The sequence below is a fragment of the Homo sapiens genome, chromosome 7 (assembly GCF_000001405.40).
Source record: "Homo sapiens chromosome 7, GRCh38.p14 Primary Assembly".
NCBI classification, from domain to species: Eukaryota; Metazoa; Chordata; class Mammalia; order Primates; family Hominidae; genus Homo; species Homo sapiens.
The window spans coordinates 153,521,022-153,544,083 of NC_000007.14; the positions used below are offsets into that span (position 1 = coordinate 153,521,022).

Consider the following 23,062-nt stretch of genomic DNA (forward strand, 5'->3'; position numbering starts at 1 on the left):
TTGAGACCAGCCTGGCCAACATGATGAAACCCTGTCTCTACTAAAAATACGAAAAACTAGCTGGGCGTGGTGGTGGGTACCTGTAATCCCAGCTACTCGGGAGGCTGAAGCAGGAGAATTGCTTGAACCCGGGAGGCAGAGGTTGCAGTGAGTCCACATCGTGCTGGCCACTGCACTCCTGCCTGGGTAACAGAGTGAAACTCCGTCTCAAAAAAAAAAAAAAAAAGGAACCTCATACATTGCTGGTGACAATGTAAAATGGAACAGCCACTTTGGAAAATTGTGTGGCAGTTTCTTAAAAAGGTAAATATAAACTTCCCAAAGACCTTGTAATTACGCTTCTAGGAATCTGCTTGCAATAAATAAAAACATACATCCTCAAAAAGACTTGTATGTGAACGTTCATGGCAGCATTCTTCAAGGCGGCCCAAACTGGAAACAACCCACATATCTGTCACCTGGTGAATTCAGAATTTGGTATCTCCATGCAACGCATTATTATTCAGCAATAAAAGAGGAACTACTGACACCTCCTATACCATGGACAGAACTCCAAAACATGCTAAGTGAAGGAAGCCAGACACAAAGAATCCTTATTAAATAGAAGTTTACGGAGCCAGAAAGCAGACTGGTGGTTGCCTGAGGCTGGCGATGGGAGCATTGATTGACTGCAAGGAGGGTGATGGGAAATTTTTGGGGTGATGGAAATGCTGCAAACTGGATTGTAGGGATGGCTTAGCTGCACACATTTACTGAAAGTCATTGGATTGTGCCCTTACAGTGGGTGGAGTGGGGTTAAATTACATCCCAAAACAGTTGTTAAAAATTACAAATAGGGGTCAGGCATGGTGGCTCACACCTGCAATCCCAGCACTTTGGGAAGCCAAGGCAGGTGGATCACCTGTGGTCAGGAGTTTGAGACCAGCCTGGCCAACGTGGTGAAACCCCATCTCTACAAAAAATTCAAAAATTAGCTGAGCATGGTGGCAGGCATCTGTAATCCTAGCTACTCAGGAGGCTGATGCAGGAGAATTGCTTGAATCCGGGAGGTGGAGGTGCAGTGAGCCAAGATCGCGGCACTGCACTCCAGCCTGGGCAACAAGAGCAAGACTCCATCTCAAACAAACAAACAAAAAAAAAGTTGCAAATAATATATCTTGTTGCAATAATATAGACTCAGCATCAACATGGTCATGTTGTCTCTCCTGTTCTATCTCTCCCAGTCTGTGAGCTGCTCTTGAAGATTTTGCACCCATTTCTGACAGCCTTATTGTTCCATTTCTAGTAAAGTTCACAGGTATTAAATTCCTCATTAGAACATGATGTTCTTCATTCTGAAAACTGCTTTCCTTCAAGCAATTATTAACCACTCTTGTCAAGGCCACCCCTCATGCCAGCTGGCTACAAGTCTCTGCACACTCTTGGACCATCCATCACCAAGGAGCAACATCTGCTGCGTGCTTTTGCCTTCGCTGCCTTATAAAGCAGAGGGAGATCGGAGTCCTGCGCCTGCCTCCATGCTTGTACTCGGAGTTGCTTTTCTGACTCAGAGCTAATATAAGCCTGACCTCACTCCTCCCTCTGGAATTTGAAACAACAGAAGAACAAGGACAGTGCAGAACCTTTTAATGGGTTTCAAATCTCCAACAAGATTCTGCACAGGCAAATGATCCATATACCATCATGAAGTAAAACAGGAGGCAAGAAAAAAGGCAAAAGAAAAAAAAACTGGCAAATCCTGTCTCTGGGCTTATGCTCAGGAGCAGCTCAAATTTTTTCTTTCCTTTCTTTTTTTATAAAAGAAGTATTCTTTCCACGCTTGAGCCTATCAGGGTGAGATCTGCTATCTTTATTTTCAAGTATTCAGTCAAAACCAACCAATCAAACAAATGAACAAACAGAAAAAATACTCATCCTCTCTGCCTACAGCCCACACCCCCCAAAAGATAAAAATAATCTTGAACTCTGGCTCACAAGTGAGGTAAACAAAAATTTTAGTTCTGACTCTGCTGCTGTGTAACCTAAGGCAAGACCGAAAGACTTGGAACGGACTCATTTTTGTCCAAGAATCTCCTAGGAAAGAGGGATTTGTCTTCTTAGTTTCACGAAACCGAACTACAACAGTAGATCTAATGGCATGTTGAAAAAATAATTTCAACATATTGTGATTAATGTCACATTTCCTAACCCACTGAAAAGAAACTGAATGTCGGTATTCAAAAATGAGTAGAATGATTTATTCTCTTTTATTAATTACTTAGTATTCTGATGCTTAGGAGCAGGCATAGGTAAAAGTATGGAGACAGAATTGATTACATAATTTATCATGCAAAACAGGATTAAGGAGTGAAAAAACGCAGTAGTCATCGTGCTGGGACTGCGGGAATAAGAAGAACTGTCTTGGGCCCTCCTTAAAGTCTACTTGGTTTCGCCAATTTAAGAATTTCGAATGGAGCTTGATTTGCTTGGCAGGCAAGCTGGCTTGGGTCCATCGGGAGCCTGGGCATGGGGAGGAACATGCCAGTGTGAGTGCCAGTGGAGGGAGAGGTGGGCAGAATTCCCCATGAGGGAGAGGCACTGGAAAGCTCTCTTCCCACGCCTCCTGGAGCTGCCACGACAAACTCCTGCAGACGGACAGCTTGAACAACAGAAGTTTATTTTTTCACAATCCTGGAGGCTGGAAGTCCAAAATCGAGATGTCAGTTTCTCCTGGGCCTCCCTGCTGGGTTTGCAGAAGGCCGTCTTCTCTCTGAGTCTTCACATGGTCGTTCCTCTGTGTGTGCCTGTGTCCTCATCTCCTTTTCCTATAATGACACAAGTCAGGTTGGATGAGGGCCCATCCCTATGGCCTCATTGTAATTTAGCTATTTTTTAAAAGACGCTATCTCCGTAGACAGTCCCATTCTGAGGTGCCAGGGGCTGGGACTTCAGCACATGCGTTTTGGGGGGAACGCCATTCACCCCATAATGTGGGCTTTCTTACATACCTGTGACTGGAGCCTTGACGGCGCCTCAGTCAGAGCTGATCACCCAAGCGCTCCCAGTCTCTGCCCTCCCTAGCTTGCTCTGACCCTGGCATGGCCTCAGGAGCCCTCTGTAGAGCTCCCTGCAGCACCGCCTCTGTGCCAATCCAGGGTGTGAGCCAGGGAGCAAGACAGACGGGGAGTGGGGAGGAATGAATTGAACAGCCTCAGGGTATGCACGCCAAATGCAGAGCAGGCCCGTGCCTTTAAACAGAGGACCATTCCTTTCCTTTTAAGCCTGTTCTTGGCCTCCCCCGCCCACCTCTGCAGAGACCAGGGGCTGAGGCCAGTGGGGTGGCGTTTGTTTTGGTGACTGTGTTTATGTTCTCACTTCAGGCGGCTGACAGGAACACACTGCTAATGAGAGCTTTGCCTGTTAGGGAGATGCTGTTTATGCAACTTCCAAAGAAAAAGAACAGCCGCCTGTGTACTAGGTGTTCACAGGGTGGGAGGGAGCTTTTTGGAGCCTCTCCAAGGAGGAGGTGGAGGGAGAGAGTTGTAGCTGGTCCACTAGCTCCGTGTATGAATCCTCTGCCCTGGCACAGCCCCATCATACAAGGTCATATCCTCCTAGAATGAGAGAAAGGAGTGGGCAGATGCCATCCTGGTCCTCAGTATGCTCAGAGCTCAACAGTAGTCAAAGGTTAAACAAAGTCACATTAAAACTCCCCAGGAGGAAGCATTCAAATAGCAAAAAAAGCAAAGTTAGGAAATATAAAATGTCAGCTAATATATGATTTCCCCCTTTGGCTTATTCGTTCCTCAAATCCTACTAGGGTGGTGTTACAGGGGCGGCCCCAGAGTGCTTACTCAGGGGCCATGTTTCTGGGGGTAACACTTCTTTCCTAGAGAAGCCCTCTAGTGCCTTCCAATGAACCATGCAGTGAATCTGAGGAAGCCGTCATTCTGATTCAGTGAAGAAGAATCACAAAGATGGCTGGCATTGCAGACCTGCAGAAGACCTGTCATCTCAGAAAGTCTTTGGACCTTCCTTTCAGTGCTCCTGCTGCTGCAGGGGTGTCTCCCAACTTGAGCTTCTTGAGCAGCAACTCCATCCACCGCCTCAGCTGGGCCCTGGTGTAGGAGCTCTGCTATAGGCATGGTGGGCTCCCTGGTCTATCCACACAAATTGTGACTGAGCTGAGGGTCACCCACTGCACTTGGTCTCAGTCCACAAGCCCCTGATGGTTCAGAAGGTGACTTGGAGTAGGATATGACTTCTTTTTAATGAAATGGCATAGACTATAACTTAATAAGGCATTGTTTCAAGAACTAGCTAGTTTTCCTGTAGGGGAAAGTGGCACAGAGCTCGGGCAGAATCATCCTATTTAGACGGCAATTTGTGAAATATTTTTTAAAAGGTTAGTCCTCCATGCCCACTGTTTGCATCCTGGGTTTGGACTTGGGAGCAGAAGGATGGAATTGGCAGTGGCAGGCACATCACATATGCAAACCGAGACCCTGTGAGAAGATGGTTTGAATGTCCGAGATAACACTGTTATTTCACCAGTGAGACACGGGAGCCTAGAAGAGTACTGATCCCAATCAAAGAAACCCGTGTGCCTTCCTGGCAGCATGCCTCACTCCATCCTCCAGGTCCTCAGAGCACTTTCTCCACCCCACTGTGTGCTCCAGGCACGATGCAGACAGTCACAGACCTCTCTCTACAGGAGCCATCTCTCAGGATCCAGAGCAGGGGTGAGGGTCATGAGTGCTGGTGTTGGTCACACGTGGGCCCCAATCCCAACCTTGCAACTATGATCTCTGCAATACTGGGCAGGCCCCTTAGTTGCTCTGATCTTTGGTCTTCTCATTTGTTAAGTTGACAGAATAATAGTAACTCTCCCACAAGGTGGTTATGAGGATTAAATGAGATAATGCATGCACAACATTCAATACAGTAAGTGCTCAGCCTGTGGTTACTGTGAATATCCTTGAGGCTAAATTGGGCATCCTTAAGATTAAAGAAAAAACTCACAAAAAAACAAAAAATAGCACTTTGCTCATATCCCTAGTGTCCAGCAGAGTGAGCGTATGTAGTAAATGTTCAATGCATAACAGCTGAATAGATGAATAAACAAATATATTCATTGCAAATCAGATTGCACAGATATATGCACATTTGGCCTCCTTTTAAAAATAATGTTAACACAGAATAATTTATTTAAAAAGAGTTTTACCAGGGAAAGAAAGGGAACATTACATCCAGAGATTCTAGCGGAAGAAAGTTCCTACATTTATAAGTAATACTTAGTTCTGAACTCTATAGCAACCAACATTTGCCTTATATATATTTATATGGGCTGCACACAAGATGAAAAATCAAGAGAGCAGTAGAACATAGTGGTAAATAATACAGATTTTGGAGCCATCCTGCTTGAGTTCAGATCCCAACTCTACCACTTTCTAGTGGTCTGACATTAGCCACTTAACCCATCATATTGGTGCCGTCATTTTCCTATCTGTGCATATTCCATAGGATTATGAAGATTAAATAGGTTAATTTGCATAAATCACTTTTATATGGCTTACTATGTATCAACTACTGTTTTCTTTTTGCTTTCCATTGAATTTGGGTATTTATTCATCACCTTGAAGACGACTGCATAATCTGCCTCTTCCTGTGGGATTTAAACAACAAATTAAATTAACCATAGGGGTTATAATCATGTTGGTAGCTGAGATTTGTACCAGTGAAACAGTAAGAGGACCCTGAAGTCTTGTACTAAATGCCCAAGAACCTCTCCGTCCCCCACTACATAGTCGGGGATCTCAGGATGTGGGGAAGGTCGAGCTGTGGCTCCTCCAGGATGAGCGGGGTCTGCCCAGGATGAGAGCCCCTGACTGAGATGGCACGATGAGGGCGGTGGGGGCAGATGGGCAAAGCTGTGGAGGTGGGATCCACAAGGACTACAACTGGGGTGTGGGAGGGAATAGAGAAGTGGCGGGGGCTTCGTGCAGGACAGAAACAGGACACATGGCGGAGTGGGAGCTCGTCCACCGTGGAAGCCCTGACAGAAGGCCTGGCAGGGAGAAAGCGCAGCCTGCTGTGTGTGTGACCTCACTTGGAGATGAATATTGCCTGGGGAATTCTGGATGCAAATAAGCCCCCATTCGACCTTGGAGCACAACCTGGAGCCATGGCAGGGCCAGAATTGCATGTGACCCTCCTGCTGTCGTAGACCCAGCGCCTCTTCTCACTGCAGCTCTGTGTGTGAATGTGCTGGGTTGTTCCCTGTGTTCCCAGAATCCAGCTCATCGCATCCAGCATGGAGGAACAGGTTGACGCTCCCTTATCCAAAACGCTTTTTGGATTTTGGAACATCTGTGTCATACCTAATGAAATATCTTGAGGATGGGACCCAAGTCTAAACAGAAAATCCATTAATGCTTCATATGCACCTCAAGCACATCACCTGAAGGGAACTTTAGACAATATTTTTAGAATTTTGTGCATAAAGTTTTGACTGCATTTTGACTGAGACTGATGACATGAAGTCAGATGTGGAATTTTCCAATTGTGGCATCATGTCAGTCCTCAAAGAGTTTTGGCTTTAGAGCATTTTGATTTTTGGATTTCTGGACTAGGGATGCTCAAACCTGTACTCGATTCATTGGATTAATCCAAGGACAGAGAAGGATGGAGCTAGAGAATTAAGGTAGTGGGGGCTGGAAAGGGGCAAAGAGGCTCCCACTTGTAAGGGGAGCAGGGGCCTCAGGGGAAGCCTGGGGAGTCGGTGGCTTGATGACCTTTGTTTCTCTTAGGATGGGACCACTTTGCCTTCCTTTTCCTGTAGTCAAGCCATACTGCCCATGCTGTCTTAGGCCGTTCTTGCATTGGTATAAAGAAACACCTGAGACCAGGTAATTTACAAAGGAAAGATGTTTAATTGACTCATGGTTCTGCAGGCTGTGCGGAAAGCATGACACCACCATCTGCTTCTGGGGAGGCCTCAGCATAAGAGTTAAAGAAAGAGGAAAGAAACACGAAAAGCAGCTTAACAGTCAAAGGCAGGTTTATTTTGGAGAATAAACTTGAGAGGGGCTTCTGGCCAATTTCAGTCAGGAACGTTCTCTCTTACAGTCTAAGGGAATTTAAGGGTTTAGGAAGGGGGAGCTTATTGCAGGATTGGAATGTTTCTATGTGAGGAAAATTTTATTGTGGGGTTGGCATGTTTCTGGTCGGAGTGGGGTTTATCTTAGGGTTGGAATGTTTCTGGTTATGCTGACATTAGTCATTAGGCTGATCTTTTGGGGCTGGATTTAGGCAGTTTCTTTTATTCAAGGGGAACTTAAAAGGTGGTGTTTGTCCAAAATGGTGATGCTCCTGCTCTGTCACTCAGGAACCTTCCAGTCATGGCAGAAGGTGAAGTGGGAGCAGGCTGGGAATAGGAGCCAGAGAGAGAGGAGGAGCTGCCACACACTTTAAAATGACCAGATCTTGCAAGAACTCACCCACTATTGAGAGGATGGTGCCAAGAGGTATGATGTTTAACCATTCATGAGAAACCGCCCCCATGACTGAATCACCTCCCATCAGGCCCCACCTCCCACATTGGGGATTATATTGCAATATGAGATTTGGGCGGAGACACAAATCCGAACTATATCACCTGACTGAGGCACCACCCACTTCTCCAGTGGGCCTTTTCTGAGAAGGGGCACCGTTGGAAAGAATCTATCATCTGGCCTAGAAGAATATGAGTCATGGCCACTCTCCATGAACTGTTACAGGAGTGTTTCCCAAACTCTGGGGAGAAGGCACCCTCTCTTCCCCTTTTTTTAGGCCAAAAGAAATAACCAACAGTTTATTAATGAGTTCAGTCCAAACAACTTAGCAAACACCTATGCCTTAATAGCTTAGTACTTACTTGTTACAGGAATACATTAAAAATCTAAATAGTACTGTTGTATTACTGCTTGCCATAGTTATTTTCCCTTGCAATGCTGCGCTGCATGGTGGAGGTAAATTGGGTTCGCATTTCCTCTTCTGTGTTGGTTTCCAAGTGGTGCTCGTTTTTTTTTTTTTTTTTTAATCACAGCAGCCACCAAAACCCAGCTTTGCAAAGATAAGGCAGTGCTGTCTGACGCTGGGATGTCTGTTACCAGAGCAAATCATGCGTGGTGTGTGGCAGGGGTTCAGGATTGTCGTGTTTCCCTTGAGTATTTAAAGCCTCCAGAGGGACCCCTGTGAGTTCACACAGGCCCCGAGCACTTGGGTGCATGTCTGGGACCCCCGGGATCAGGGGCAGCCCTGGGCCAAAATGGAGAGGTAGGTTCGTTGATCTCAGGCTTCCCCTTGGCGGTGCCTCAGGTCTCCATGGCTGTTGTGGCCCAGGGCACCCACTGTGGCACCTGGCTCAGCCACAGAACCACTAATCCAAGTTCAACCTCTCACCCCCAGGCCAGAGGTCCTCTTAAAACAACCCTTACAAAGGGTCCACTGATGTCTTCCCTCGAGGGAAGAGTTCTACCTGGCAGCACATTTCATGGTTCCAGGACATCTGCAGTTTCCCAGCACTGGCCTTGCTTCTGGTCACGAATGTTACCCAGAGGAAGCATCCCCTTTGCTTCCTAAAGCCCCTTCCCTGACAGTCTCTCTGTAAATGATGCTTGCTGAAAGTGGGGCCCCTGTCTGATTGCCCCTCAAATCACACCGAGGTGTGCATTTCCCAGTCTTCTAGGACATAATTTCTCCCTTCATCCATCCATATGTTTTTGTTTCCTTGAACATAGCTTTTCAGGACAAAGAACATGAACCTTCCAGACATTTGTTCCTTCACGTGGCACATTTCTCAGCAAGAGGTGGAAACAATCCCAGAACCCTCCCCAGGCCCCTTTGGGAAGACGGTCACCTGCGGGCCAGGGCTCTTAAGACTGACTGGGATGGCAGCCCTGGCGGTGAAGCCCAGCAAGGCCCCTCTGATTGAATTGGTCCTGCTCATCAGAGCTGAAATGCACTTTAACCGGCCTTCGACACCTCTCCATGCTCCTCACAGAAACCGTGGGCTCCGCATTGGGCTATGAGGTGCTACAGGGCCACGAAAACAGTTTGAGATTTAGCTCCTTTCCCCAAGCATTTGCTGTTTAATGATGGAGCCCGGCGCATGAATCTAACAGCAGACATGTTGGGAGCATGCAAGTGCGAGCTGATTAGAAAAGGAAGACCTCACAGTTGCCAGCACACAAAGCCCTAGAAGCGCAGAGGCTTCCAGGGGGGATTAGGAGATATTTCACGCCAAGGTGACTCTGGGCTTGGCCTTGAACAAAGGTGATTTGGGGGAAAGGGAAAGGATTAAGGATTGCAGGAAGAGGACAATATAATAGAAATTCCCAAATAGAATGAACACAAATGTTCTGCAGAAGGAGCTGAGCTCAGGGTGTTACTTAAGACAGGGAGGCTTGAAGGGTGGACAGACATCAAGGGCCTTGGAGGCCAGGTGGGGTGTGGAGACCCGGTGTCACTGTGAGCTGGTGAGCCTGGGACGGAGGCTGGAGGTATTCCAGGTTCCCATCACTGGTTTGTTCCGACTGCCCACGCCTCGGCTCAATGCCTCCTTGTAAGCTTGTTTTGCAAAGTGTTGTACTAATTACCACCTGTGAGTCCATCTGTGTACCCACAAAGGCCTGCAGCCTCTGTCACCCGCTCCCCCCCACAACAGGAGTGCAGGCCGCAGCCTATTGCCAAGGGCTGGAGCCAGGAGAACCTCCACCTGGGAGCTGCGCTGCTATGGGGCCAGATCGGGGCAGAAAGTGGAGCAGCAGGTCCTATTTCAGCTGCTCCCACCATTCTCTTTCAGCTCACCCTCCTCGCCATGTTCATTCACACGCACACACAACATACAACACACACACACTGCACACAACATACAACATGCACTACACACCACACACTAGATATACACCAAACACAATACTCAGTACACTACACACAGAACATACTACACACACAACACACTCCACAGGCATAACACAGTAGACACACTAAAAACACACACAGTCCACTATGTGCTACACACAGAACGTACTACACATACAACATAATTCACAAACAACACACACACTAACACACACAACACACTATACCCACACACTACACACACTGAACACACATCGTATACACACTACACGAGCAACACGCACACGTAGTCCTTCATGTTGCTTTGACACAGAGCCCGTCTTCCTGCACTTCCAGTCTTAGCAGACACGTAATTTAGGACTTTACCAGGTGTCTGAAGCTAATCTGATAAGTTATTGAAAGTTAAATATGCAATAGCATTTTCTTATCTATTTTCATTTCTACTGGGGCTTTGTATGCTGTTTTGGGCTCTCCGGCCCTCTTTCATCCTTGCCCACATCACATAGAAATTCACATTCTGGCCATTCTGAGTCTACTGTTCTTAGCGTGTGCCAAGTGCGGTGGCTCACTCCTGTAATTCCAGCACTCTGGGAGGCTGAGGCAGGTGGATCTCCTGAGCTCAAGAGTTCGAGACCAGCCTGGGCAACATGGCAAAACTCCAGCTCTACCAAAAAATACAAAAATTAGCCTGGCATGGTGGTGCACACCTGTAGTCCCAGCTACTCGGGAGGCTGAGGTGGGGGTACTACTTGAGCCTGGGAGGTGGAGGATGCAGTGAGAGGAGATTGCACCACTGCACTCCAGCCTGGGCAACAGAGCAAGACGCCATCAAAAAAAAATTAACATTCTGGTGGTACGAGTGTTGCTTGTTATTCCTCCTCTTTTGTACCACTGGGGAAATAAAAACAGATATCAGATATAATGAGCACAGAGTTGACCTCATCAACACCACCCCCTCCAACACACACTTCTCTTTCCCCTATGGGATTTTTGGTTATGTGAAGACAATTTCCATCCAATATTTGGGGAAAAATATTAATCCAGTGAAGAAGCATGAATGCAGGTGTCTTATACTGATAATGTGCTGTCTATTTGGTAATTTGAGTATATGTTGAATTAGAAGTATGTTTGCGGGGCTGGGCACAGTGGCTCATGCCTGTAATTCCAGCACTTTGGGAGGCCAAGGCAGGTGGATCACTTGAGGTCAGGAGTTCAAGACCAGCCTGGCCAACATGGTGAAACCTCATCTCTACTAAAAATACAAAAATTAGCTGGGCGTGGTGGCGGGTACCTGTAATCCCAGCTACTCGGGAGGTTGAAGCAGGAGAATCGCTTGAACCCGGGAGACGGAGATTGGTTGCAGTGAGCCGAGATGGTGCCACTGCACTCCAGCCTGGGTGACAGAGCAAGACTCCCTCTCAAAAAAAAAAAAAGAAAGAAAGAAAGAAAAAAGAAAGAAAGGAATATGTTTTGGGGATTCTTATTTATTGCTTCTCTGGTAAAACCCACCTGAATCCTGCTCCTCCTCAAGTCTTCTCCATCTTAGTAAACAGAACCTCCAACCCCCACTGCTCAAGCCAGAAACCTGAGCATCCTCCTTCCTCCATTCACACTTAGCATCTGCACCTGACAGCCAGCCATAAATCCACCTCGACTATTCTTTCAAAGAACTTCAAGTACATCTACTTTTTAAAGACATCTTACTGGGAAATGGTGGATGGGAAACAGATACCGGGGAATTGGAAGCCCTATAAGTTGACTTGTCTAAATAGGACAATGAACCTGAGATTGAGCTGGGAAAATATTCCTGAACTCCAGGCTCTGCACAGATGGTTGAGCCAGAGTCTGCGGAGGACTTAAAAATGTATCATTTCCCAAAGATGGTTGCAAAAGAATAAACCAAGAGGAGAATTAATACTATAATTTTATATTTCTTTTTTTCAATAAATGTTTTAATATAAAGCTTGAGGGTTTCACCAGTTTGACACCATGTTACATGTAATTTCTATAAAAGAATCATGCTTTGTGCAGCCCTAGCACATAGTAGGAATGCAAATGTTTTCTGACTAAATGAATGAAGATGGAATTAGTGAATGGATAACAGAAAGATTGACTGGTGGTAAGGAGCTTAAATTTGTAACTGTTTACAATAGCCCTCTGATCAGTTGCCTTGGCAGTCACGAGAGTCAGAAACAGTATCAGTGTTAAGATTTCATTCATTTCTTCGGAGCTATTAATCAAAAAATGGGAAACAGGAATGTTGCAGCTTCGTAAGGGAGAAATACACATTAAGAGGTGCCATTTAATGACATAGATGGTTAAATACCTAAAGGCTACATTTGATCATTCAGCCAAGAAATATTGATTGAATGCTTACTCTGCATTAGGCACAGAATTAGGGCTGGGATGGAGCAGTAAAAAACAAGCCAAAATATGCTGCCTCTAGGGGTCTTATGTTCTACCAGGAGACACAGGCAATAAGCAATAAACATAAAAGGATTATACATATAATGTATGCAGAGCGGTATACATATTTGTGTGTGCATATATGTGTGTGCATACATAGGTTATATATATATGTGCATATATATGTGTGCATACATAAGTTATATATGTACGTGCACATATATAAAATGTAATATATTAGAAGGTGATAAATGACATGAGAGTGACTTAGGGTGGGGAATGGGTAATCAGAAGCTCCCGCATGGGGATCAGGGGAGGTTTCAATTTGGAACTGGGCATTGCGGAAGATATCACCAGAAGCTGTTACTTCAGCAAGCACTTGAGGAAGGGGAGAGAAAGCCACACAGACATCTCTGGTAGAGCATCTTAGGCTGAGGGAGTCACCAGCTCAAGGGTCCCGGGGTAGGACATACCTGGAATGGCTGAGGAAGATGGGGAGGCCAGCTTCTCCCAGGAAAAGCCAGCTAGTCTGGGCCACAGACTTTGCTCAAGGCCATGGGAGCCTCATGGAGACAGAGTTGGTGACGAGCACTTTGCTGATTCAGAGAAGAGTGAGCAAAGACAAGTTTGCCTCTTTGGGGGTTTCAGAAGAGATGTTTCTGCTTATACCTGACAATATGAGCTGTTGGGTGTCTCCCATCTGCTGTAAAAGGGAGCCTTGTATGAGTTAGGGTTTCCTGGGGAAATAGAACCTATCTATCATCTATCTATCTATCTATCTATCTATCTATCTATCTATCTATCTATCATCTATCTATCTATCTATATCTATCTACCTATTCTGTGTGTATATATATATGTGTGTGTGTTCTGTTTATATATATATACACATGCATGTGTGTATATATATGTTCTGTTTATGTATATATATACACACACAAATATATATATATGTGAGCTATTCTACATCTTAAGATATTTATTATGAGGAATTTGCTCAGAAATTTTGGAGGCTGAGATGACCCAAGACCTGCAATTGGAAAGATGAGGACCCAGGAGAACCAATGATGTCATTCCAGTCTGAGTCCAAAGGCCATAGAATCAGTAGAGCCCATGGTCTAAGTTCTAATCTGAAAGCCTGCAGGCTAGATACCCAAGAGCCAAGGTTCAGTTCAAGTCCAAAGGCTCAGACAGTCCCAGCTCAGACAGTCAGGCAGCAGGCCTTCCTGTTCCTCTGGAGAAGGCTGGCATTTTGGTTCTATTCAGGCCTCCAACTGATTGGATGAGGTCCACCTACATCAGGAATGGCTGCCTGCTTTACTCAATCCATCACTTCAAATGCTGTTATCACCCAGAATTATTCTCACAGACACACTCAGAATTATGTTTGACCAAGCATGTGGGACCCCATGTCCTAGTCATAGTTGACACATAAAATTAACCATCCCAACTCTCCATCTTTTAGCTTTCATTTACTTAATCTCATTTAAGGATCATGTTTGGCTCTGTGTGGTGCATGTCCACCCTGTAGGCCAATCCCTGCAGACAGGGGGAAAAAATATCATCACTGACTCTGTCATCAGGAGGCAGTAGGTGGGTCACTTGTTGATGGCCCCAGCAGAACCATACAAGAGTAGTCCCCCACAGAGAGATGGTGCCAGATGACAAAAGCAATAAAAAGCCATTGCAGATGAAGTTTTGCACAGTAAATGTTTATACTTGTATGTATATAAGGTGCTTTACTGTATGTTATCTTATTTGTTTCTCACAATCACCATGTGAGATAAAGGTTTGATAAAACTGTACCGTGCAGAGATTAAGTGGCCTACTTAACTATGGTCAGATTGCTGCAGAAAGGAAAGACAGACTGACTCCCAATCATAAGTGATTTCTGCCATTACCTGGCAGGAAGAAATGGTCCCATTTGGAGTCATTACCTTTTCTGATGTCCTGTGACCACAATGGCTATGTAGAAGTGATTTAGAGATTGTTGGGGTACCTAAGGTGGTCCCAAAACTTCTAGGTTAAGACCTGTTTGTTCAATACTCCCATCCTCGTCCCCCCAGCTCTCACTAGTTTCTCTTGCAATTCCTGACCGAGGCTTGCTTACTTCCTGTTAATTTTGTGCTTCATACCTGTGATGGTTAATATTGAGTTATTGAGTGTCAACTTGATTGGATTGAAGGATGCAAAGTATTTTTCCTGGGTGTATCTGTGAGGGTGTTGCCAAAGGAGATTAACATTTGAGTCAGTGGACCCAGAAAGGCAGATCCACCCTCAATCTGAGATGGGGGGCACAATCGAATTAGCTGCCAGCGTGGCTAGGATAAAAGCAGGCAGAGGAACACGGAAGGACTAGACTTGCTGAGTCTTCTGGCCTTCATCTTTCTCCTGTGCTGGATGCTTCCTGCCCTCCAACATCGGACTCCAAGCTCTTCAGCTTCTGGACTCTTGGACATACAGCAGTGGTTTGCCAGGGGTTCTCAGGCTTTTGGCCACAGACTGAAGGCTGCACTGTCAACTTCGCTACCTTTGAGGTTTTGGGACTTATACTGGCTTCCTTGCTTCTCAGCTTGCAGAAGGCCTGTTGTGGGACTTCACCTTGTGATCATGTGAGTCAATACTCCTTAATACACTCCCTTTCATATATACACGTATCCTATTAGTCCTGTTGGTCTAGAGAACCCTGACCAATACAATACCTTTCTAACCACATAACTCCCATCTGTACCCACCTGTGACTCCTAAGATCAGGCACTTCTCCTTCTCCAAGGTTTCTCTCTTTTTTTTTTTTTTTTGACAGAGTCTTGCTCTGTCGCTCAGACTGGAGAGCAGTGGTGCGATCTCAGCTCACTGCAACCTCCACCTCCCAGGTTCCAGTGATTCCCCTGCCTCAGCCACCCGAGTAGCTGGGATTACAGGCGCCTGCCACCAAGCACAGCAATTTATTTTTTTTGTAGTTTTAGTAGAGTAAATTTTTTTTGTAGTTTTGTAGTGTAGTAGAGTACACCATGTTGGTCAGGCTGGTTTCGAAATCCTGACTTCAAATGATCTGCCCACCTTGGGTTCCCAAAGTGCTAGGATTACAGGCATAAGCCACCACACCTGGCCAAGTTCTCTTTTTTGAGTAAATAACCAACTGAGAAATGTAGACTTCCTACGATGGTTGTCAATTGAGAAGTCATCTGTCATAGCTGAGGGTGTGCAATTGAGGGAATCTCCTAGAGACAGTGCTTTAAGACAAGGGAGAAAAAAAACAACCTTCTATGATAGAAATTTTATTATCTGTGCTTCCAAGAACAAGGATGATCTGGTGGCCTCAGACCAGCAGGGCTAGGGTCAGGAACCAGGGTCTCAGGGCACCTATGAGATTCCAGCCACCAACACTCTCATCAGAGTCAGCCAGCCTCTGATAAAGTGGCTGTGGAAGTACTCATTTCTCTACAGATTAGGGGTCTTGGCTGTGGGATCCACAGATGGAATGAGTGGGGAAGCTGGCCAGGGAGAAGCCGGGAGCTCGGTCACTCTCTGGGCCATTCTTGCATCCATGGCCCGACGTCCAACTCCCCACAGAGCTTGGCTGCCTATGGGCTTGCATTGCTTTCAGCACTCCTGCTAATTGAATATCTTCACTGCAGTCTTCTTTTTTGTTTTTTTTTTTTTTTTCAGCTGGAGTATTGCTCTGTCTCCCAGGCTGGAGTGCAGTGGGCTCACTGTAACCTCCACCTCCCGGTTCAATCTATTCTCCTGCCTCAGACTTCTGAGTAGCTGGGACTACAGGCACCCACCAGCACACCCGGCTAATTTTTGTATTTTTAGTAGAGTCGGGGTTTCACCATGTTGGCCAGGCTGGTCTTGAACTCCTGACCTCAAGTGATCCACCCACCTCGGCCTCCTCGCCAGATGCTCCCTTCTCTTTGGAATTGGGAGGCAAAACTCATCCCCTTGCTGTGCTTTTTCAAGCATGATTTAGGGAACTTTGTGATTCCACTCAGCAGAATCTTAGGGGTGTGTGGGAAGGGTTGGATTCTGCCCCACCCCAGGTCCTACTGTTTAAAAAGCAGACAAGAGACAGGAATGGCTTTGAAAGGGCTCCTCGAAGCCTGCGCCGGAGCCTGCCTCTGCTGATGAGAGTCACGGGCACTGGGAGCATATGGGGAGCAGAGAAGCAGCACAGCCAGGAGTGAGTACGGGATCCCTGTGATGTCTGAGTGTCTGACCTCCTTCCAGTCACTTCCTTCCCAGTCACACAGCCCCGGAACTCTAGCGCACTCAGGCAGGGGCTCAGCGTCTTGTCCTGCCACCAACACAGCAAGGACTTTAAACACAGACAGCTCAACAAAAGCTTTCCTTTCTTCACTTTGAATTCTCAGTCTCATTTACTCCCCAGATTTCAAAGTGATCCAATAGAATGGGCTTTGAAAACGAGATTACCACAAAGGTGTAATATTTTAAATGCACTATTTTTTCTGAATTTATTCTTCATATTCTCCAGACTTAAAGAACACTTGATAGCTGAGTCTCAATAGGTTGACTGTCACAGTATTTAAATTTTGTTTTCAGACTTTCTATTGTTTTAAACAAAGTGAAATTGTAGTCATTCATTGATACCTCCTTATCTTCTGCCTTTACTGACTTTAATCATTGAATGAGGAATCTAAACAGAGTTCAGATTTTGATTTAAATAAATAAACAGGAATGGCTGGGTGTTGTGGCTTATGCCAGTAATCCCAGCACTTTGGGTGGCCGAGGCGGGCAGAATACTTGAGCTCAGGAGTTCAAGACCAGCCTGGACAACACAGTGAAACCCTGTCTTTATCAAAAAATACAATAATTAGCCAGGCATGGTGGCAGGCAACTGTAGTCCCAGCTACGTGGGAGGCTGAGGCAGGAGAGTCGTTTGAACCCAGGAGGCAGAGGTTGCAGTGAGCCAAGATCATGCCACTGTACTCCAGCCTGGGCAACAGAGCGAGACACCATCTCAAAAAACTAAAATAAAAAAATAAAAAAACAGGAATGCTTGTGGCAATTATTTTAATTTTTTCTCTTTCTTTTGAAGAGGCTATCTTCCATCAACAGTAATGTCTCTAACCATTAATTTCTCTGCATTCTCCTTAATTAAAATATGCAATTTTATGTTCATTCGAGCTGTGATTCTCAAGTGAAAAGCAATAATGAATAAAAAAGTATTTATCCCAGAAAAATGACTAGTAAACATGGAATTCCTCCTGGTCCTGCCTTATTGTTTATTCATTCATTTTTTTCACCCAATATCTATTTACTGAGGACCCCCTCTATGCAAAGCACTATTCTGGGGGTGGATGGGTACTAAAGGTGAGTAAAACAAGATCCTCATCCTCATGGAGAGAAGATGATTCTTTCGAAGCGTGCAGGAAAGGAAGAAATCATAGCTAGAGAAGGGATTCAGGAAACGAGGTGATGGCATTTAGACTCACTTAAACTCAGAGTTGATGTCACTGTAACCTTGGGGGCTCCCGGGAATTTCGTGCTGATAGGTTCACGCAGATCAGGCTGCTGGTCTCTCATCAGAAGTGGGCTAAGATGTGGCCCTCCCATAAAACGTGTGGCCACACGCAGGACTGTCATCGACGGCTCTAACCTCTCCTTCCTGCTGCTTCTGCACTTAGCAATTTCTTCATAAGCTTGGCATGCCTTGGTTTGGACCGTCTATATGCCTCATTCTACAAAGGAAGAGAGCAAAAGAGAATAACTAGTTATTTGAAGAAATCCTGTGGCATGAAAAAGAAAGATGGGGGTAAGTAGAGCAACCAGCAGAAACAGACAATCAGGGAAATAAAGGAAAAAATTAGCATCTTCCATTAGAAAATGTAGAAAAACTTACCAGTTTACAAAACCAAACAAAACACGGTGTGAAAAAGACTCAATTAGAAAGCAAGAATTAGCTACTGGAAGATAAAATCAGATTAGATTTTGGAAGAGAGTGTTAATTAACAATTCAGTGTAAAGGTTCAAAGGGAAGGCTGAGGAAATCGTCTAGAATTTAGAGCACAAAAATAGAGAGTGGGAAAACGTGAAAAAGACAAGGGGGCCAGAATTTTAATCCAGAAGGTCTAACATTTAATTAACACAACTTTCAGAAAGAGAGACCAACAGGAATACAAACAGCTAATAATCGAATAAATACTACAGAAAATTATCCGGCCCCAAGTGATAATTGAGTCTTCAAAGCGAAAGAAGCCTTCAAGCATCAGGAGGGATGAATGCAAAGATAACCATAGCTGGATATGCATTTAGGAAATGTTACAATGGCAGGTGAAGGAGAATATCATAAAAAGCTTTGAGAGAACTCATAAAACAGGTAACCTACAAAGAACTGAGGCTTTAGCTGGTGTCAGACATCCTGTCAGCAAGAAAACAGTGAAGCGCCCTCAGAACCTTTTAGGAAAATTATTCTGATCTTAGAATCGGTACCAGACTCTCAATCATGCCTAAGAACAAAATCAAGTCACTTTCAGCCAAAAGAGAAAAAAATTGTACCTTCTAAAGCCTTCTTGATGAAGTCTTTTCAATTCATACTCTAGCAAAATACCCCTGAAAGTGAAGGAAAGGGAAGATGTGGGTATCAGAAACAGAGAAACTAACCTGAGTTTACTGAAGAGCCATCCTCGGATGACCGTTTTGTCGCAGGGTATGCAAACCATGTGTCCAAATTAGAGCAGGAAGTCAGTGAGCTTCAAAGGCAGTGCCTATCTCAGGAGAGTGGAGTGGGATGCAGGCAGTGTACAGAACAAGAATAAGGAATATCATGAAAACGACGTAAGTTTCAGCTCCCCTCCCTCCCCAAATGAAGTCCATTTGAAACTCTAGGAAAAAAACTGTATAAGGAAATTATAGTCTAGATATCAAGAAAACTAAAGCACAATGTAGGACCCTTCCATTGACTCTGGAAATAGAAAAATGAAGACTGCATTTCACCACGAGCCTACAGATAATGGTCTTAAGTCCTAAGAATCGTGACATTGGAATTCTAGAAAGGAAGTGATTACATTTTTAGTTTTTCAAATTTTCAAGATATAAACAAAGCCTAGAAGGCTTCATTATGGATACTAAAAAGAGTGTAAATATTATTAATATTGATGATAAAATATAGAGTACACAGAATTTGAGAATAGAGAGGTACAAATACACTCTCTAAAAGTGTGGGTTCAAAAGATACTTGTGAAGTCTGACAAAGACTTAAAATAATATACTTAAGTTTTAAATGGGACCAATTCGAGGAACTAGAAGAGAGTGAAGCAATTGTAACAACTTGCAATGAACAGAAGGTGGAAATCATGATAAGAGCGCCGAATCCTTTGCTCTTACAGATAGAATTCAATAAAAGAATAAAAGAATTCAAGAAATAGGGTGACAACATATTATTTAACAATGCGGAAATGACAATCAGAAGAATTAAAGCTGCAAAGAGGTAGAAATGGTTATCTCCTGGAAAGGGACTGTTGTAGTACTTTTAATACTTGTGTTACATGTTTTTTAATATTTGTTCAAGTATTACTTTAATAAAAATTATTTATTAAAATATGTTCTTCAACTAAAGTAACTTCAGACATCTTTATCACGTAGGCAAACCTTGGTAGTTGGATAATCAATGACAACATAATTGTATAATCAATATGCAGCTATGCATACAGTTACAGATACACATATGTATACAAAATATATAATCTGCTGTATGAATCTCCTCTCATCTGCTTGGTGCCTTCATGAGGAACATAACCTTTTTTATTTGTTTGTTTGTTTGAGACAGAGTTTAGTTCTTATTGCCCAGGCTACAGTGCAATGGCACGATCTTGGCTCACTGCAACCTCCACCTCCTGGGTTCAAGTGATTCTCCTGCCTCAGCCTTCCAAGTAGCTGGGATTACAGGTGTGTGTCACCACGCCTGGCTACTTTTCTATTTTTAGTAGATATGGGGTTTCACCATGTTGGTCAGGCTGGTCTAGAACCCCTGACCTCAGGTGATCCATCCACCTCAGCCTCTCAAAGTGCTGGGATTACAGGCGTCAGCCACCATGCCTGGGCCTAACCTTTACCTAAAATGATTTTCTCATTCTAATTCACTGATTATTTATTTATATTTAATTAATATAGATTATTCTATTGTCTTGCCAGCCCAAGACTCATTTGTACCTTGAAGACTGTGTAGCATATCCTAATTCTGATCTGTTATTGTGTGGACTTTAATATTCAAATAGGTTGGCTTTTTCTCTTATTTCCAAATTCCAGTGGCCATTTCACTTTTTTGCTGAGGCAACTCAAGGGGAAAACAGGGCTGGTTTGGGGCTTACATAGTCATAAATGTGATGTGAACTATCCAATTAGGTTATGTGTAGAAGAGAGTGTCCACTTCCCGTAGTAACTGGGGTGGTGTAGGAAGCAGAAGTTATGCGGTGGAAATGCAGGGATCAACTAGTAGGAACTATTTTCTTGGACATTCTGGCTTTGAGTGTCCATTTGTGCTGTTCCCATTATTATGTGTGGGGAACTCTGCCATCACCACCCCTGCCTGGACATAGAAGGCAAATGACCAGCCTCATTATTTGATTTTGAACAAATTACTATCCTGTTAGTCTCAATTTTCTTATCTGTGAATATGGGAATAATAATAATGATCTTGCAGGGCTGCTGTTAGGATTAAATAATAGAGTTGATGTAAAGCATTTGCCCATCAGATGCTAAGTCCCCAGTGCCAGATATTACATAATAATATTATGATTTCATCAGCTTTTAATGTTTGAATAGAATCCACTGGGATTTATTTGTAAGCTTAAATTGTGAAGATAGCTAAGTGACTCTTTTATTCAGTGAACCACACAACCATTGTTTTTAAATTACCAAGTGTACATGACTTTTTATTTATTTTTTTGAGATGGAGTCTCACTTTGTCGCCCAGGTTGGAGTGCAGTAGCTCGATCTTGGCTCACTGCAACCCCTTTCCCCCCAGGTTCAAGCGATTCTCCTGCCTCAGCCTCCTGATTAACTGGGATTACAGATGCAAGCCAGCATGCCTTGCTAATTTTTGTATTTTTTGTAGAGACGGGGTTTCACCATGTTGGTCAGGCTGGTCTCAAACTCCAGCCTGTTGAGGTCAAACACAGGCTGACCTTAAGTGATTTGCCTGCCTTAGCCTCCCAAAGTGCTGGGATTACAGGCATGAGCCACTGTGCCCGGCCAGTACGTGGCTTTAGATTAGCTATTCTCAAGAGACAGAGACTGTAATAAGATCCTGGAGAGGAGATGGAAGTGGAAATTTTATATTTATCACAAGAGGTCGTATGTTTAAGAAAAGATTGAACAGAAAGCAAATGCTGTATGATTTCACTTATATGTGGAATCTAATATTGTCAAACTTACAGAAGCGAAGAGTAGAATAGTGGTTACCAGGACCTGGGGAGAAGGGGAAACAGGGAGATGATGGTTAAAACATGCGAAGTTTTAGTTATGCAACATCAATAAGCTCTGGAGATCTACTGTACATCATGTGCCTATAGCTAACAATACCGTATTGTGTACCTAAAATTTGCTAAGAGGGTAGATCTTATGTTTCGTTCTTACCACGAAAACCTCAATAATAAAAATAAAGGGAGAAGGAGAAAACTTTGAGAGGTAAATGATTATGGCCTTGATGGTGGTGACAGTTTCACAGGTGTATACTTAACCCCAAACTCATTGAGATGTACACATTAAACATGTACAGCTCTTTGTACTTCATTATATCTCAATGAAGTGGTTAGAAAAAAATGGTTGGGAGAATAATTCTCTGAAAACTTTTATTAAAATATCATTCTGGTACGTAGGCGGCCCTTAATAGATATTTATTGTCTATTATCTAGATAGATTGCATAAAAGATCCATGCCACCAAAAGAACATAGGTTTTCCACGTGCATTTTCTATAGATATTTAAATTGCCTCTTTAGATTTGAATTGACATGTGAGCCAAACTGTAATTGCCTGCAGTTATTAAAATATAATCTACTTTTTAATGAGGACCCGACATTTAAAAAATTCTAAGCTCATGTTATTATTATCGTAAGAACTATAAGTTACCCTTGTAACTATCTCCATTACATCTCAGAGCATGCGCACACCATCCACTTCAGCTTCACGTGCCTGTTACATTCTAATCCAGGCAAAGGAAGAGGGCACTAAGTTACCTAATAACTCCCAACAAGGAACCATTTCAGAACCTAAACAACATGACAACTGGGGGCCTTAAGTATAGATTAAGTTATTAACACAGTGTACTGCACATTTTGCAAAGTGGTTTTATAAAAAGTAATTTTAGGCCAGGCACAGTGGCTCATGCCTGTAACGCCAGCACTTTGGGAGGCCGAGGTGGGCAGATCATGAGGTCAGGAGATCGAGACCATCCTGTCCAACATGGTGAAACCCTGTCTCTACTAAAAAAAAAATACAAAAATTAACCAGGCATGGTGGTGCACACCTTTAGTCCCAGCTACTCAGGAGGCTGAGGCAAAAGAATCCCTTGAACCCAGGAGGCAGAGGTTGCAGTGAGCCGATATTGCACCACTGCACTCCAGTCTGGGTGACAGAGTGAGACCCTGTCTTGAAAAAAATAAAAGTAATTTTAGTAGATGAACATTAATTATATAGAAAATTAGCAATAAGACTGTGAGAAGCTTATTGCAGTATACAAATATTTGTTACAGCAGGAGAGCAAGAATTCTGGAAAGGGACACGGCTTGGTTGTAGTTGGGGGCTCTGGGCTCA

The 23,062-nt window shown here is 44.1% G+C and overlaps 1 long non-coding RNA gene across 1 annotated transcript; it reads right to left on the reverse strand.

Annotated features, from left to right (window-relative positions):
• Positions 1-2,215: 2,215 nt before the first annotated feature.
• On the reverse strand, positions 2,216-3,210 carry LOC107986750 (uncharacterized). The gene is made up of 2 exons (XR_001745034.2): positions 2,988-3,210; positions 2,216-2,804 (listed from the first exon to the last, which is right to left on the reverse strand). It is a non-coding gene; the product is annotated as an uncharacterized LOC107986750 (long non-coding RNA).
• Between the last annotated feature and the right edge of the window lie 19,852 nt (positions 3,211-23,062).